This window comes from Homo sapiens, chromosome 9, assembly GCF_000001405.40.
Source record: "Homo sapiens chromosome 9, GRCh38.p14 Primary Assembly".
Taxonomy (NCBI): Eukaryota; Metazoa; Chordata; class Mammalia; order Primates; family Hominidae; genus Homo; species Homo sapiens.
This window is the reverse complement of record NC_000009.12, coordinates 77,395,177-77,413,191: the sequence shown is the minus strand read 5'-3', so window position 1 is coordinate 77,413,191 and position 18,015 is coordinate 77,395,177. Positions and strand designations below refer to the sequence as shown.

At 36.8% G+C, this 18,015-nt stretch overlaps 1 protein-coding gene across 2 annotated transcripts in view; it reads right to left on the bottom strand.

Moving 5' to 3' along the window:
- Positions 1-18,015, bottom strand: part of VPS13A (vacuolar protein sorting 13 homolog A) — a 244,004-nt gene that overhangs the window by 8,346 nt on the left and 217,643 nt on the right. For both annotated transcript variants that reach the window (NM_033305.3, NM_001018037.2), the window contains 3 exons: positions 9,871-9,956; positions 7,205-7,328; positions 5,585-5,659 (listed from right to left, as the gene is read on the bottom strand). In NM_033305.3, coding sequence (NP_150648.2) covers positions 5,585-5,659; positions 7,205-7,328; positions 9,871-9,956 — 285 coding nt within the window. The remainder of the gene's footprint in view (positions 1-5,584; positions 5,660-7,204; positions 7,329-9,870; positions 9,957-18,015) is intronic.

The following is an 18,015-nucleotide window of genomic DNA, read 5'->3' as shown; positions in this document are numbered from 1 at the left end:
TTGAATCTATAAATTACCTTGGGCAGTATGGGCATTTTCATGATATTGATTCTTCCTATCCATGAGCATGGAATGTTCTTCCATTTGTTTGTATCCTCTTTTATTTCACTGAGCAGTGGTTTGTAGTTCTCCTTGAAGAGGTCCTTCACATCCCTTGTAAGTTGGATTCCTATGTATTTTGTTCTCTTTGAAGCAATTGTGAATGGGAGTTCACTCATGATTTGGCTCTCTGTCTGTTATTGGTGTATAAGAATGCTTGTGATTTTTGCACATTGATTTTGTATCCTGAGACTTTGCTGAAGTTGCCTATCAGCTTAAGGAGATTTGGGGCTGAGACGATGGGGTTTTCTAGATATACAATCATGTCATCTGCAAACAGGGACAATTTGACTTTCTCTTTTCCTAATTGAATACCCTTTATTTCCTTCTCCTGCCTGATTGCCCTGGCCAGAACTTCCAACACTATGTTGAATAGGAGTGGTGAGAGAGGGCATCCCTGTCTTGTGCCAGTTTTCAAAGGGAATGCTTCCAGTTTTTGCCCATTCGGTATGATATTGGCTGTGGGTTTGTCATAGATAGCTCTTATTATTTTGAGATACATCCCATCAATACCTAATTAATTTATTGAGAGTTTTTAGGATGAAGGGTTGTTGAATTTCGTCAAAGGCCTTTTCTGCATGTATTGCGATAATCATATGGTTTTTGTCATTGGTTCTGTTTATATGCTGGATTATGTTTATTGATTTGCATATGTTGAACCAGCCTTGCATCCCAGGGATGAAGCCCACTTGATCATGGTAGATAAGCTTTTTGATGTGCTGCTGGATTCGGTTTGCCAGTAATTTATTGAGGATTTTTGCATCAATGTTCATCAGGGATATTGGTCTAAAATTCTCTTTTTTTGTTGTGTCTCTGCCAGGCTTTGGTATCAGGATGATGCTGGCTTCATAAAATGAGTTAGGGAGGATTCCCTCTTTTTCTATTGATTGGAATAGTTTCAGAAGGAATGGTACCAGCTCCTCCTTATACCTCTGGTAGAATTCGGCTGTGAATCCATCTGGTCCTGGACTTTTTTTGGTTGGTAAGCTATTAATTATTGCCTCAATTTCAGAGCCTGTTATTGGTCTCTTCAGAGACTCAACTTCTTCCTGCTTTAGTCTTGGGAGGGTGTATGTGTTGAGGAATTTATCCATTTCTTCTAGATTTTCTAGTTTATTTGCATAGAGGTGTTTATAGCATTCTCTGATGGTAGTTTGTATTTCTGTGGGATCGGTGGTGGTATCCCCTTTATCATTTTTTATTGCATCTATTTGATTCTTCCCTCTTTTCTTCTTTATTAGACTTGCTGGCGGTCCATCAATTTTGTTGATATTTTCAAAAAACCAGCTCCTGGATTCATTTTTTGAAGGGTTTTTTGTGTCTATTTCCTTCAGTTCTGCTCTGATCTTAGTCATTTCTTGCCTTCTGCTAGCTTTTGAATGTGTTTGCTCTTGCTTCTCTAGTTCCTTTTTTTTTTTTTTTTTTTTTTTTTGAGATGGAGTTTTGCTGTTGCCTAGGCTGGAGTGCAGTGGCGCCATCTCGGCTGATTGCAAGCTCCGCCTCCCAGGTTCATGCCATTCTCCTGCCTCAGCCTCCCGCGTAGCTGGGACTACAGGCGCCCGCCACCTCGCCCGGCTAATTTTTTGTATTTTTAGTAGAGACGGGGTTTCACCATGTTAGCCAGGATGGTGTCGATCTCCTGACCTCGTGATCCGCCTGCCTCGGCCTCCCAAAGTGCTGGGATTACAGGCGTGAGCCACTGTGCCCGGCCTAGTTCTTTTAATTGTGATGTTAGGGTGTCAATTTTAGATTTTTCCTGCTTTCTCTTGTGGACATTTAGTGCTATAAATTTCCCTCTACACACTGCTTTGAATGTGTCCCAGAGATTCTGCTATGTTGTGTCTTTGTTCTCGTTGGTTTCAAAGAACATCTTTATTTCTGCCTTCATTTCGTTATGTACCCAGTAGTCATTCAGGAGCAGGTTGTTCAGTTTCCATGTAGTTGAGTGGTTTTAAGTGAGTTTCTTAATCCTGAGTTCTAGTTTGATTGCACTATGGTCTGAGAGAGAGTTTGTTATAATTTCTGTTCTTTTACATTTGCTGAGGAGTGCTTTACTTCCAACTAAGTGGTCAATTTTGGAATAAGTGCAGTGTGGTGCTGAAAAGAATGTATATTCTGTTGATTTGGGGTGGAGAGTTCTGTAGATGTCTATTAGGTCTGCTTGGTGCAGAGCTGAGTTCAATTCCTGGATATCCTTGTTAACTTTGTCTCGTTGATCTAATGTTGACAGTGGGGTGTTAAAGTCTCCCATTATTATTGTGTGGGAGTCTAAGTCTCTTTGTAGGTCTCTAAGGACTTGCTTTATGAATCTGGGTGCTCCTGTATTGGGTGCATATATATTTAGGATAGTTAGCTCTTCTTGTTGAATTGATCCCTTTACCATTATGTAATGGCCTTCTTTGTCTCTTTTGATCTTTGTTGGTTTAAAGTCTGTTTTATCAGAGACTAGGATTGCAACTCCTGCCTTTTTTTGTTTTCCATTTGCTTGGTAGATCTTCCTCCATCCCTTTATTTTGAGCCTATGTGTGTCTCTGCATGTGAGGTGGGTTTCCTGAATACAGCACACTGATGGGTCTTGACTCTATCCAATTTGCCAGTCTGTGTCTTTTAATTGGAATATTTAGCCCATTTACATTTAAGGTTAATATTGTTATGTGTGAATTTGATCCTGTCATTATGATGTTAGCTGGTTATTTTGCTCGTTAGTTGATGCAGTTTCTTCCTAGCCTTGATGGTCTTTACAATTTGGCATGTTTTTGCAGTGGCTGGTACCGGTTGTTCCTTTCCATGTCTAGTGCTTCCTTCAGGAGCTCTTTTAGGGCAGGCCTGGTGGTGACAAAATCTCTCAGCATTTGCCTTTCTGTAAAGGATTTTATTTCTCCTTCACTTATGGAGCTTAGTTTGGCTGGATATGAAATTCTGGGTTGAAAATTCTTTTCTTTAAGAATGCTGAATATTGGCCCCCACTCTCTTCTGGCTTGTAGAGTTTCTGCTGAGAGATCAGCTATTAGTCTGATGGGCTTCCCTTTGTGGGTAACCTGACCTTTCTCTCTGGCTGCCCTTAACATTTTTTCCTTCATTCCAACTTTGGTGAATCTGACAATTAAGTGTCTTGGAGTTGCTCTTCTTGAGGAGTATCTTTGTGGCATTCTCTGTATTTCCTGAATTTGAATGTTGGCCTGCCTTGCTAGATTGGGGAAGTTCTCCTGGATAATATCCTGCAGAGTGTTTTCCAACTTGGTTCCATTCTCCCCATCACTTTCAGGTATGACAATCAGACGTAGATTTGGTCTTTTCACATAGTCCCATATTTCTTGGAGGCTTTGTTGATTTCTATTCTTTTTTCTCTAAACTTCTCTTCTCGCTTCATTTCATTCATTTCATCTTCCATCACTGATACCCTTTCTTCCAGTTGATCGCATCAGTTACTGAGGCTTGTGCATTCGTCACTTAGTTCTCGTGCCTTGGTTTTCAGCTCCATCAGGTCCTTTAAGGACTTCTCTGCATTGGTGATTCTAGTTAGCCATTCATCTAATTTTTTTTCAAGGTTTTTAACTTCCTTGCCATGGATTCGAACTTCCTCCTTTAGCTTGGTGTAGTTTGATCATCTGAAGCCTTCTTCTCTCAACTTGTCAAAGTCATTCTCCATCCAGCTTTGTTCCATTGCTGGTGAGGAGCTGCGTTCCTTTGGAGGAGGAGAGGTACTCTGATTTTTAGAGTTTCCAGATTTTCTGCTCTGTTTTTTCCCCATCTTTGTGGTTTTATCTACCTTTGGTCTTTGATGATGGTGATGTACAGATGGGGCTTTGGTGTGGATGTCCTTTCTGTTTATTAGTTTTCCTTCTAACAAACAGTCAGGACCCTCAGCTGCAGGTCTGTTGGAGTTTGCTGGAGGTCCACTCCAGACCTGTTTGCGTGGGTATCAGCAGCGGAGGCTGCAGAACAGCAGATATTGGTGAACAGCAGATGTTGCTGCCTGATTGTTCCTCTGGAAGTTTTGTTTCAGAGGAGTACCTGGCCGTGTGAGGTGTCAGTCTGCCCCTACTTGGGGGGTGCCTCCCAGTTAGGCTCCTTGGGGGTCAGGGACCCACTTGAGGAGGCAGTCTGTCCATTCTCAGATGTCCAGCTGTGTGCTGGGAGAACCACTACTCTCTTCAAGGCTGTCAGACAGGGACATTTAAGTCTGCAGAGGATTCTGCTGCCTTTTGTTTGGCTGTGCCCTGCCCCCAGAGGTGGAGTCTACAGAGGCAGGCAGGCCTCCTTGAGCTGTGGTGGGCTCCACCCAGTTCGAGCTTCCCAGCTGCTTTGTTTAGCTACTCAAGCCTGGGCAATGGCGGGCGCCCCTCCCCCAGCCTCTCTGCTGCCTTGCACTTTGATCTCAGACTGACTGCTGTGCTAGCAATGAGCAAGGCTCCGTGGGCGTAGGACCCTCCGAGCCAGGCATGGGATATAATCTCCTGGTGTGCCGGTTGCTAAGACCGTTGGAAAAGCACAGTATTAGGGTGGGAGTGACCCGATTTTCCAGGTGCCATCTGTCACCCTTTTCTTTGACTAGGAAAGGGAATTCCCTGACCCCTTGCACTTCCTGGGTGAGGTGATGCCTCGCCCTACTTTGGCTCACGCTCGGTGCGCTGCACCCACTGTCCTGCACCCACTTTCCGACACTCCCCAGTGACATGAACCCAGTACCTCAGCTGGAAATGCAGAAATGACCCATCTTCTGTGTCGCTCACACTAGGAGCTGTAGACTGGAGCTTTTCCTATTCTGCCATCTTGGCTCCACCCTCTTACTGTAAGTTTCATGATATAATGAGTACAACTCAACATTCTGAATAGCACTTCAGTTGTGATCAATGAGGTCAGACAGTCAATTCATAGTCTTCATTTTCTTGACAGTGCACATCCTTGTGATTGATTGCCATAATCCCTAAAGTACACACCATGCTTTTCAGTTCACACCATTCTCATCTTGAGGAAACTGTGCTTAGTTGACCTTCTGCAAGATTCTATAGTCAAGAAGGACAAAATCAGTATTCAAACTTGGATTTTCTGTTGGGCTTGGCTCCCTTTGGTCTGTGTCAGCTATGGCAACTTTTTAAAAAATCACGGTAGCTATGCAGTAGAAAAATCAACAATGTGGGGCTACACTTTCCTGTTGGAGCTGATGGATTAACACTAAAACAAAATAATTAATTTTTGTTTGTTGACTTTTTTATTAAAAAAAATTAATTAGAGTTAGCATTTAAAATAAGATGGAGCAATCTGGTTTGAAAAGCAAGTAGGTATGCCGAATTGAATCTGGTAGAAAAAAAAGTCTGGGGTAAATATTATCTGGTTACATATACTTTTAAAACCTGCCAAAACACAAAAGCAAAACAAACAAACAAAAACCCCCAAACAAAACTTATCTGCATTAAAAAATAGTCCACTTACATGATTTTGAAGTGAGCAGCTCCTATTTAAATAAAAGATTTATTATATTTACCCTGGCATCCTCTGGGGTCTTGAAGTTAATTATTTTTCCAAACTCTCTGGCATGAAATACAGACTTCACTCGTTCCTATAAACAGAATATGTAAATTCATTAAAAAGATAATCTGGTTGTAAAAATCCATAAAGAAATGCCACAAAGCTTTATTACTGTATGCCTAAAGTGTCCCTCTTATACAAATCATGCACCTTAAAAAAGACAAGAATGAGGAAGCAAGAAGAATCAAAACCAATAGAAAAAAAGACTACATTCTATTAATAACACAACCATTATCACTAAACCTAAGTTAAAAAGCTTAAGGTGATATTTTAATTGCTAATGCCATAAAGAGTCGACATAAAGGATGGGAAGGAGGTAAGTTGGGGAGTAGTGCCACTGTTTTTCGTCTCCAAATAATTTCTTACACAGTTGTTATCTGGCCATAGAATCATGAGTGAGTCCAGGTTAAAAATATATGCACATGTGTGTGTATGCATACGTACATAAACACATACATATATTGTATGTGCATGTGTGCGTGCATGTATGTACTTCTGCCATTTTAAACCAGTCATACAGTAAGAATATAGTTTAGAATCAAAGAGAGATCAGGTTGTGTCCTAGATGATTTTCCTCCACTATTTATGCTCCGTTGGTATTATGTTTAGTATTGGTAGTGGGGAGTGGGACTGTCTCAGAGCAGATATTAAGCATATCAGGGGCAAACAGAAGTGAAACTATTGAGGACAAGGATGATGTTTTCCTCTGTACATATGGGTGAGGTCATAGAGGGCAAAGTAAAGGTTTTACTAGTCAAACATGTTCTATAAGTAATTCAACTATCCATGCAAATACAGACACTAGAAGAATTACATTCTTTCTTCTAATTAAAAAAAAAAAAGATGAGGCTGGGTCCAGTGGCTCACGTCTATAATCACAGTACTTTGGGAGGCTGAGGCAGGCAGATTGCTTGAGCCCAGGAATTCAAGACCAGACTGGCCAACCTGGTGAAACACCGTCTGTACTAAAAATACAAAAATTAGTCGGCATGGTGGCACATGCCTGTAATCCCAGCTACTCAGGAGGCTGAGGCAGGAGAATCACTTGAACCTGGGAGGTGGAGGTTGCAGTGATCCAAGAGCGCCACTGCACTCCAGCTTGGGCGACAGGGCAAGACTCTGTCTCAAAAAAGAAAAAAAGAATGATTGCAGAATTGTAGATATAAGGTCTCATGAAAAGGGGGAAGGGGAAGAAATCAAAGAGATAAGAGAATGTATTAATGTTAGAAAGGGAAAATATATTTAAAAAGCCAGGAAAGCAGTATGGACTGCAGCACAGGCTAATAGCCACTATCCATTATTTCATATGTGGGAAGGTGGGGCTCTGTTACTGAATATACAGCAAGGGCCCAGGAATGTTATTGTCAGTGCAATAGCACAGAAAGCACAGTTTTTCTTGGCCTAGTTTTTTTTTTTTTTTCCTTTAAGCCTGGGTAAGATAGCAGGTATAAGGGAAAACCACACCAGGACAAAGTGACATCTATAAAAGAGGTAGAGCATTATACAAATAAAAAGGACTACTTCAAAGCATTATTTTCAGTTCCAAGTTTTCAAAAAATAAATCTATTCAACATACCTTTGCTTCAATGCGCAATCTTCTCCCATGAACAATGAATGGCTCTTTGGTAAATTCATCAAAACTATACTGCCACTCACACGTGAGTTGTCCAAATGTTCCCTTTGTTACAAACAATACACCACTGCAAAAAGAAAAACAAAAAAAGAATTCGCTTTAAAATTGAGGCACTTATATCCAATAACAACAGGATACGAATGAATCGCAAGTGCAAATGCAATATTCATCAACATAGACTATATTCTATATTCTTAATGAATTTAAAAGAACTGGAACCATAAAGTGTGTCCTCAGATCATAACAGAACTAAACTAGAAACCCAAACAAAAAGATAACAATAGTATTTCCAAATGCTTAAAAGTAACACTTCCAAATAATCCAGGGGTCAAAGAATCTCAAAGGAAATTAGAAAATATTTTGAACAGAATAAGAATGAAAATACACCATAAAATTTGTGGGATGCAGCTAACATAATGCTCAATGGGAAATTTATAACACAACATATTTATATTAGAAAAACTGAAGCACTTCTTACAAAATCAAATATGTAAGGCACTTCATAAGAAACAGGGTACATTTACAGAACCAACTATCAGCCAATATTTGGAGGAACTTTCATATAATTAACGCCTTAGAATAAATACTTTCATTTCTAAGGCTCCATGTAACGTATTTCCCAACTACATCAGAAAAAAGCTTTTCTAACCATGTTGAACAGAATCATCATGCTGAGGGCCTCAGGATGTTCACAGGTAAAATCAAGTCCCATTACTGCCAATTTTAGAGGAAGACTTCAAAAAGCATCATTCTAATTTTTAAATAAATTCTTGTTTTCCCATTTTGAAGAAAGAAACCAAGAAATGAAAATACCTTCTGTCTATAAGAAGTCTATTTAATCCTTCCTTCAAATGTCTTTCTTCTTAATTTTTCTTTCTGATTGAAACATCAATTGTAGGTGCAACCAGAGGTTTGTATTAGATTGAGTTAAAAAAAAAAAGGTCTGACTCCTGGCTAGGATGGAAAAGGAGAGAGCTAGCCAGGATTTATATCTATCTCTCACTTCCATCTTCTGTCCCTGCTCCCCTCTTTTACCAGTCCTGGATTACAGGAGCTGATGGAGCAAACCTAGTGGTGCCCCAGGACATCTCCAACCATGTGAAAAATCACAGACAGGCTGGCCAATGTAGCAGCTATTCCCAGTCCTGATTCAAAGATCCTTTATCCTCAAACCCGAAACTTGGAAAGGGAATCTCAAGTATAACCATCACGTTTTATTCAACTACAACTAATTCACTTCCCTTATTCTGTCAAGGCACCATGGCCTCATCTAAAGAGGTCCACTGTGTTGAGAAAAAAGATAACTTTTAAAATGTTGCAAGATTTGGAACCAAACTTTGCAACTGATTTTGCTTAATGCTGATTAGTTACCTTTCCTTTAGTCAATGGGAAAGTGAGTTACTAAAAACATGATGGAAAATTTTTATGAGCAAAAATGATCGCTGAAGCAATGTCTGTAATTAATTACAAAAGTCTAGAAACAAGTTACATGTAAATTCGTACATACTCCTAAATAAATATTAGGCAGGAATTTACAAATTAAGACAGCTGTCCATACGTTGACATGTAATAATCTTCAAAATATAGATCTCAAGTGAAAAATTAAAACTAAGTACATAATGGTATATATAAGAGAATTTCATCTACATTAAAATGTGTGTGTATGTCTACCTGTAGAGGCATAGAATATTTCAAGAAGGATACAAAGGAAACAAGTAAAAAATGGGCTGCCTCTTGGAAGGGAACAGAGGGACCAGTATCTGGGGTGGAATGAAGACTTACTTTTTACAGGTATAACTTCTAATATTGTGGAAGTTTTCCACTTGGTGTTACTTTTTAAATAAGAAAATTAAAATAGGGCTATACATTTTAGATTCAGAAATTGAGATTACAACATTAAAAGTGACTGCTTAGTAGTCACCTTGAACCAACACAATGCTCATATAACTTTACCTTTCATAAGTGAACAAAACCATAGATTGACAATTCATTTCTATTTAGCTCTAACTTCTCCCTGCTAGCCGTATTTTCACTCTCCACCACCCAGAGACTGCCATCTTACTAATGCACTTGCTCATTTTTTCCCTAGTTTAACAATGACTTCTGCACACTTGCCCCTCTGAGGCTATGCCCCTGTGTATTTTTACATGTACCCCTCCACTGTCTACTTGAAGAAGTCGCTGGAGTATCCACCTAAAATTTTATCTGCTTCTACTAGTATATCCACTTACGTCAATCTATATATATTCTAACAAACAGATACTACCAGAGGACTGCTGACTTCTGGGATAACCTAAAATTGTACACTTCTTCAGAGAGGAGAAAGCTTACTTTTAAGAGGATAGCTTTATGGAATTTCTGCATCCAGTTAAATTAGTTGAAACAAATACTAAAATATTTATGTCTGTGCATGACTGTGTTTATCTGTATGCATGCACAAAGCTATGCAGGAAATTTATGTAATGTTTAGCGAGTTAGGCTTGTGGAGCAAGAAGACCCAAGAATCAGTGTGACTATATGGAACAAAAGGTGAATAACAAATCTTCACCTCATGAGTCGCTGTCAGTTAACCCCTTATAAAATTACGTAAGAGAAAGAAAGCAAGTTACCGTCTGGTTATCATTAGCATATCTGTCTTATTGATCATGACATGGGTAAAATATTTGTATTTTGCAAATCTTCCATTTTCCATGACCTAAAAGAAAAAAGTGAGAGACAATGAGAAAATTGATAGTATTTCCTACTGTAATGCAAACAATGCCTTATAGTCCTCTAAAAACCATTTCTCAATGGGGCAAACCATTAACATAGAGAAAACATTTAATTATTTGTAAAATCATTGCTGTTTCCTTTTTAAAAGCATCTACTTGCACTACTTTATTTAACATTACTCAGTTGCAGCAATGCCAGCCTTTAATGCTAGACTTTTAGAAGCTGATGTTATCTTACAAAGTTTAAATTCAATCTAATGAGGTATTTAACTATTACAGTGACTTTATATTGGAAAACACATTAGTATTTAATAATATTTGTACAAAAACACATGTAAATACTAACACAAATCTAAACATATGCATCACATAAATTACTTATTAGCTTCTGCCTTGCGCTAGAAATTTCGTATGTAACAAATATGCTTTTCTTTGTCAATCTCACAACTTAGTAAAAAATAAAGAGCAGAGAGTTTCTGGACAAACAGGGACCCCAAGGCTTACTTAGCCTTTGAATCAATCTTTATTTTCAAGACTGTTGAAACACTGTCTATCCATGACACTGTTTATTAACAATTGTTTGCTTCAAGAAATGTAAATATAACCATATGAACAAAATAAGATTTACCATTTTAAATTCCATTTTCAGTAATATTTGCTCTGAGGATGGACGTACTTCAGCTATTTAAAGTACATAGCAGGCTAGCCTACTGTTTTTACAGGCAAGGCAAGCAATGTAATTATGACTAAGTTCCCTCAAGAAGAGGCATGTTATGAATTTAGCCAAATGTGAAAAATCATAAAGAAATCCAAAAGAGGATATAAAGGTTTTAGAAAATTGTGTTCCATGAAACTGTACCAAAAAACTAAAATTATTTAGCTTAGAAGAAAGCTAAGAAGTGACTTCATGATGATCTTCGTATAGAAAATTGATAGTTTTCATTTTTATCTGAGAAAGAAGTTAAAAAACTAAAATAGCAGGATGACTCATACAGATTAATTGCATGGAAGAAGTTCCTAACTTCAATGATTATAAAATATTGAGGAAAAGAATATCTTTACTATTTACTGTAGTAGGTAGGGCAAATAAACACAAACACTTTGTAATACAAATGAAAAAGGGACATACATACAGATTCAGAAAAAAATAATATGAATTACAGTAGTTCTCCCTTATCTGCAGGGGGATATGTTCCTAGACCTCCAGTGGGTGCCTGAAACCACAGACAGCACTGAGCCCTACATATATTCTATGGTTTTTCCTATATACACACACCTATGATAAAGTTTAATTTATCAATTAGGCACAGTAAGAGATTAACAATAACCAATAATAAAATAGAACAATTATACTGTAATAAAAGGTATGTGAAGGTTTATTTCTGAAATTTTCCATTTAATATTTTCAAACCATGGTTGGCCATGGGTAACTGAAACTGCAGAAAGCAACTGTGGAAATGACAGGACTACTGTATTAGATAATTTATAAATTATGCAAATAATTTTGAAAACTTAGATGAAAAGAACTGTTTTAAGAAATATTAAGAGGAAGAAGCATCATGAGTAGAAATTATTTGTGGATGACAGTACATCTGGAAAATCCAAGCACACAAAACCCAGTAATCAATTTGGAAATGGAAGAGAAAGAAATCCCGTTTACAAGGGTAATAAAAAGATAAATATTTACATGTAAGTTTAATAAATACTGTGCAGAATATAGGTGATAAAAGCCATACCACTCTATTCAGGGGAGTAAAAGAAATTTTGGAAATGGAAATCCATATCTTATTCTTGGATATAAAAATTTATCATAATAAAGATGTTATTGACTCCCTCCCAATTTTTACACACACACACACACACACACACACACACACACACACACACACAACTTCATGTGATCCCAAGATGGTGGTTTTTGGAGCATGGGGTAGGAGGTAAGAAGTGATTTGTCAAAATTATACTAAAATGTAGCTAGGAAAAATATGTGGTAATATCCAGTAAATTATGAAAGAAGAATGAGAAGAACTACTCTGGAAGACATTAATGCAATTTATAAAGCTGCAGTAGTGAAATAGTTTGGTGGTGGTAAAGTATATGCAGACATATCAAAGGAAAGAATACAGATTACAGAAACTGACCACTATGCATATACGACATTATAAAATCCTATCCAATTACGGAAATTTATTAAATGAAGACAGCACTTCAAATTAGTGGGTAAACACATGTATTATCAAATAAATGGCGTTTTAAGTAACTCACTGGCTAAAGCTGTATCCTTCTCTCTATATACCCTATCAATTCTACATGGATCAATGATTTAAGTATAGAAAATAACTATAAAAGTACTATAAAAAGTAACATTTTAATAACTTTTTTTTTTTTTTTTCAGACAGAGTCTCGCTCTGTTGCCCAGGCTGGAGTGCAGTGATGCGATCTCGGCTCACTGCAAACTCTGCCTCCTGGGTTCATGCCATTCTCCTGCCTCAGCCTCCCAAGTAGCTGGGACTACAGGCACCCATCACCACGCCCGGCTAATTTTTTTTTTGTATTTTTAGTAGAGACGGGGTTTCACCATGTTAGCCAGGATCTTGATCTCCTGACCTCCTGATCTGCCCGCCTCTGCCTCCCAAAGTGCTGGGATTACAGGCATGAGCCACCGCGCCCGGCCCATTTTAATAATCTTGAAGTGGGAAAGGCCAAAATATAACAGAGTCCATAAAACACAACATAAAAAATTGTTAAGTACATAGAACTTAACCACTACTGAATGGCAAAACGATAAGCAAATAAACAGTAATAAAGTAAAATAACAGAAAAATCAAAGGACAATTTGGGAAAATATTTGTCAATACAGAGATATAGAGTCATTTTCAAAATATAGACAATTCTAGCAATTTGAAGAAACCGACAGAAAAAAATGAGTAAAGCAGTAGAAAAATGTGTGAAGAATATGAAAAGGTAGTTCAGCAAAAAAAAAAAAAAAAAAAAAATCTGACTGATAAACATGAGAAAATATTCACTATAACTCAAAATTAGGAAAATGCAAATCAATTAAACATACCCTCTGAGTCAGCAATTACACTGCTAGAATTTATCTTAGGCAAAAGTATGCCAAAATATACATATAAGAATCTTCACAGCAATATTGTATTAAAAGCACAAAATCTAAATATTCATTAAAAGGGTACTGGTTAAATAAATTCATGTACAGCCATACAATGGAGCATTATGAAGTCATAAAAAACCTGTGCATACTGACATAGAGAGATGTATAAGATATAGTAAATAAAATTATATTACAAGAGAATGTATAGAATGAAAAGTAGAAATGCATACATGTACATATATTTGTACGTACATGTATCTGTGCATATAAGCAGTTAAACCAGTTTCAACATGTAGAAACTTCTGGAAGGTACACATCAATCTATTAACAGCACTGATCACTGGGCTTCTGAAGCATAATGGTGGAGGCAGAAGTTAAGCTTTTATTTTTAATTTTACATTCTTTTATTCTGTTTCAGTTTTTTGATATCTGAAAAGAAACTGGCTTTCAAAGATTCATTTTCTTTTGTTCCATATGGCGAAGTTTAAAAATGAAGAATACAAATGTTGATCTCAAGAATGCCACTGCTAATAGAATTCAAGAGCCTACATACACCATTAATAGATCGTAACCTTCCAATAGTTTAAAAGCTATGGTTTATTCCAAGTACCTAACTTTTATTTCCATATTATGCTAAGTTTGGGCATTGTAATTAAGCCTACCTCTCATCACTTTCTACTTTCCAGACCCAACTTAAATCAAATCTAATCTGTGCATATAAGCAGTTAAACCAGTTTCAACAGTCACAACAGCATCTGGTATAAGTAAGAGCTAAAAGAATCCAGAGAAAGTAATTCATATAATGCTTTCCATCCAAAACCTTAAATGTAACACACTTGATAGATGAATGAGCTTTATGGTCATAGTAGTCTGTTTTGAAACGTAATCAACCGTATCCTTTGTTTTTTTTTTTTTTTTTTTTTTTTATTTTTTTTTTTTTATTATACTCTAAGTTTTAGGGTACATGTGCACATTGTGCAGGTTAGTTACATATGTATACATGTGCCATGCTGGTGCGCTGCACCCACTAATGTGTCATCTAGCATTAGGTATATCTCCCAATGCTATCCCTCCCCCCTCCCCCGACCCCACCACAGTCCCCAGAGTGTGATATTCCCCTTCCTGTGTCCATGTGATCTCATTGTTCAATTCCCACCTATGAGTGAGAATATGTGGTGTTTGGTTTTTTGTTCTTGCGATAGTTTACTGAGAATGATGGTTTCCAATTTCATCCATGTCCCTACAAAGGATATGAACTCATCATTTTTTATGGCTGCCAACCGTATCCTTTGTTATTAGAGTGACTGTATTTGAATAAACGTCAAAGCGTCAAAGATAACTCATCGCACAGCAAAATCTTGCTGGTCAGTCTCCATTATAAACATGAGAATACGGAATAAGAACATTATAAACAGAATCCAAAACTTTCAAACTGAATCCACAGAAGTTAATGGGAGAGAACGTCACGCTGTAAAAAGTCTACAAATGTCACGTTGTAGTCACAAATTCCTGCCTGACTTTATGAATGCATTATATAAGAAGCTTTAGACTACTCAAAACATCATTTTTGGGGGGAAAAAACCCCAGAATTTTGGAACCGAAAAACTCCTGTTGCTCATCCAAACCAATCTCTTCCTTTTACACACAAAGAAACTGAGGATCAGTAAGTGTCTAATGAATCTTCTAAATCTAAATTTTCACCATCTTGTGTAATTAGGTAAGAGTACATCTAAGTGACTTGCTTGGGGTTAGTTGCAAAACTGGGCTCAGAAAACTGGATTCTTCACTTCTAATTCCAGTGCGTTTCACTATACCAAACATATCATGATGTTTCTTCCTCATGGTATCAGTCATACTTTCCTCATGGTACCTCAAAAAATGTCTTTGATATCCCTGGATACTGATAGTTGCTGAGGTAGGCTGCTAATTTTTTCCAGGTCAACAGTATTCAAATAATTTAGTGTCAAAAATCCTATCTTCCTCCATCCCAAACAGATGCTAGGTATAAATGGTTCTATTAAAATAATTTGTGATAGCCTTTAAAATAAATGAAGAATTAGCAAAATCAGGGTTTGGGAATCATCATGTAGGGCCTTTACATAAAGACCAAGATTTGGCTGAACTATGAAGGAATTAACAATGCCAGTACTTTAGACATGTTAGCCTCATTTATATGCTTAAATGTTAAAGGAAAAACATTTTTTTCGCCTTATTCATTAAAAGTATATATATAAATTACCTATCATAGTTTAAGAATTACTAAAAGAAACAGAAACACAATGGAAACTGCATTCATTATATACAATTGTCAGAATCTATAGGTAATAATTAAAATACATGGTTACTGGTAAACAGGTCCTTTTGCATTTAGAAAAGATGAGTACATAAACCATACTTTATTAGACATAAATAAATTCAAACCAAATTAATGATACATTTGGAAACACAAAGAAAGTGGAACTTGAAGGACAGAGCCATGGTAACAGAGACACTTCTAACACTCTCAAATCATCCAAATGTTATGAAGAAACAGAATCCCTTAACAAAAATACTTCTGAAAAATAATGCAAAATATGAAAAGATTAAAAATAGGAATAAATCACTAAAATAAAAGGCTTTAAGTCCCAACCAAAGAATGTGTTAATCATTAATAGGAAATATATTTAAGAAAATTGGTTAAAGGACAAGAACATGTTGTTCGGCAAAACAAAAAACCAAAATCTAATCAATATCTGACTCATGTGGAAGACAAGTGTTGCAAAGAGGTATGAACGTTTAAAAAAAAATAGCAAAAATGGGGGATTAAAAACATGAAATTCAGCCAGACACGGTGGCTCACACCTGTAATCCCAGCACTTTGGGAGGCCGAGGCGGGCGGATCCCAAGGCCAGGAGTTTGAGACCAGCCTGGCCAACACGGTGAGACCCCGTCTCCACTAAAAATACAAAAAATTAACTGGTTGTGGTGGCAGGAGCCTGTAATCCCAGCTACTTGGGAGGCTGAGGCAAGGAGAATCACTTGAACCTAGGAGGCAGAGGTTGCAGTGAGCTGAGATCACACCATTGCACTCCAGCCTGGGCAACAGAGCGAGACTCCGTCTCAAAAACAAAAAACCATGAAATTCATCTAAATGAAAGATAAAAATGAATACTATCAAGCAAGAAAATATATAGATAACAAATGGTTTTATAGACTGGTTAATTTGAGGGTTCCGGAGATGAGTGGGAAAGAGGAAGCATTTATGAATAGATTCTACTTAAAATTTAAGCTTATTTCTAAAACCAACAAAATTCAGGAAGTTAATTGTAAAATGGTAAATACTGCCATTTTAAAACTATTTAAGAAGTAAATAGACAAACTGTTCAAAACAATCTTATCTTTAGAGAAAACTTAATAAGTATAACTTCCTTAGAGTTTTATGATGAATTTTTAGGGATAAAGAAAGTTTTACTAATTCACTTCAAACCTCAGACTCGAGTGCCATGGCCAGGAAAAAGAAGGTATTCAAGCAAACTTCACAATCAAATATAGTAGAAATTTATTACCTCAAAACTTAATGATTTCATATTCTTGAATGAGAATAAATGTAAACAAGAATAAAGAAGTGACAGGTAGCTTACCTTGTCTGAGGTAAGTTGGTTTTAAAAAAATAAAATCTTACTGACTATATGGTCAAATCTGAAGAGCAACCAGCACTTATTTTATCCCTCATAACTTCATCCTCTCCCATGCTAATATGCTATCTTGACTGTCAGCAAAACCATAGGTATAGGCTATACTGACAGCTTAGACAGGGCAGGAAAGCTGAGCATAACCTTTGACATAAAATCAAGTGTAAGAAACTACTATATCTTAAGAGATACGAATTGTTGTCATCAACTGGTACAACCAAAAGCCTGGAGAAGGAAAATAACTATGCTCATCAAATAGTTATATGTACTGACAACAGCAGACCATCAATTAACGTACTTAATATATTCTAGGAGAAGAGCCAGAGTGAGAGCATCAAGGGTAATGTAGGTGCACAGTAACAAAAGTCTCACTAAAGTTCAGCAGAACCTCTAATGGATCAACATTTACGGGTCCATCATACTACATATCCCTGAAAGCAGCAGTAACATTTCTTTTAAAATACTGTATAATTCAGAGCAGTTCAAATCACTGAGGTTTTACTGTTTCAACTGCTTGCCAATTAGCATGTGTGGAAAACTGTCATGGTGTTTTAACTACTCTGTTAACCTTGAAAGGAAAAAAAGATTCTTTTTTAAATTCTTAAAATCTATTCTTTTAAATTCTTAAAATCTACTCTTAAATAGAATAGATTTTGTCTTGCCAAAGAGGACAAAAATGAGGAATTTATATAATGATGACTAAGAACTTGCATAAACTGGTATTCATCTGGAATAATAAAAATATAATGAGTTATTATTAGGCACCATGCTAATAATTACAGGCATATCTAATTTTATTATACTCCATTTTATTGTATTTCCCAGATATTGTGTTTTTTACAAATTGAAGGTTTATGGCAACTCTGCATCAAGCAAGTCTACAGGCACCATTTGTCCAACAGCACATGCTCATTTCGTGTCTCTAAGTCACATTTTGTTAATTCTTACAATATTTCAAACTTTTTTTATCATTATTATATCTGTTATGGTGATCTGTGATCACTGATCTTTGATACTGCTATTTTATAGTCCTTTTTGAGGTGCCATAAACTACAGCCATAGAGAGTGAACTTAATCTATAAATGTGTGTTCTGACTGCCCCACTGATTGGACGTTTCCCAAATCCTCTCCCTCTCCTTGAGCCTCCCTATTACGTGAGAAACAACAATATTGAAATTAGGCCAATTAACAGCCCTACAATGACCTCTAAGTGTTCAAGTGAAATGAAGAGTTATATGTCTATCACTTTAAATCAAAAGC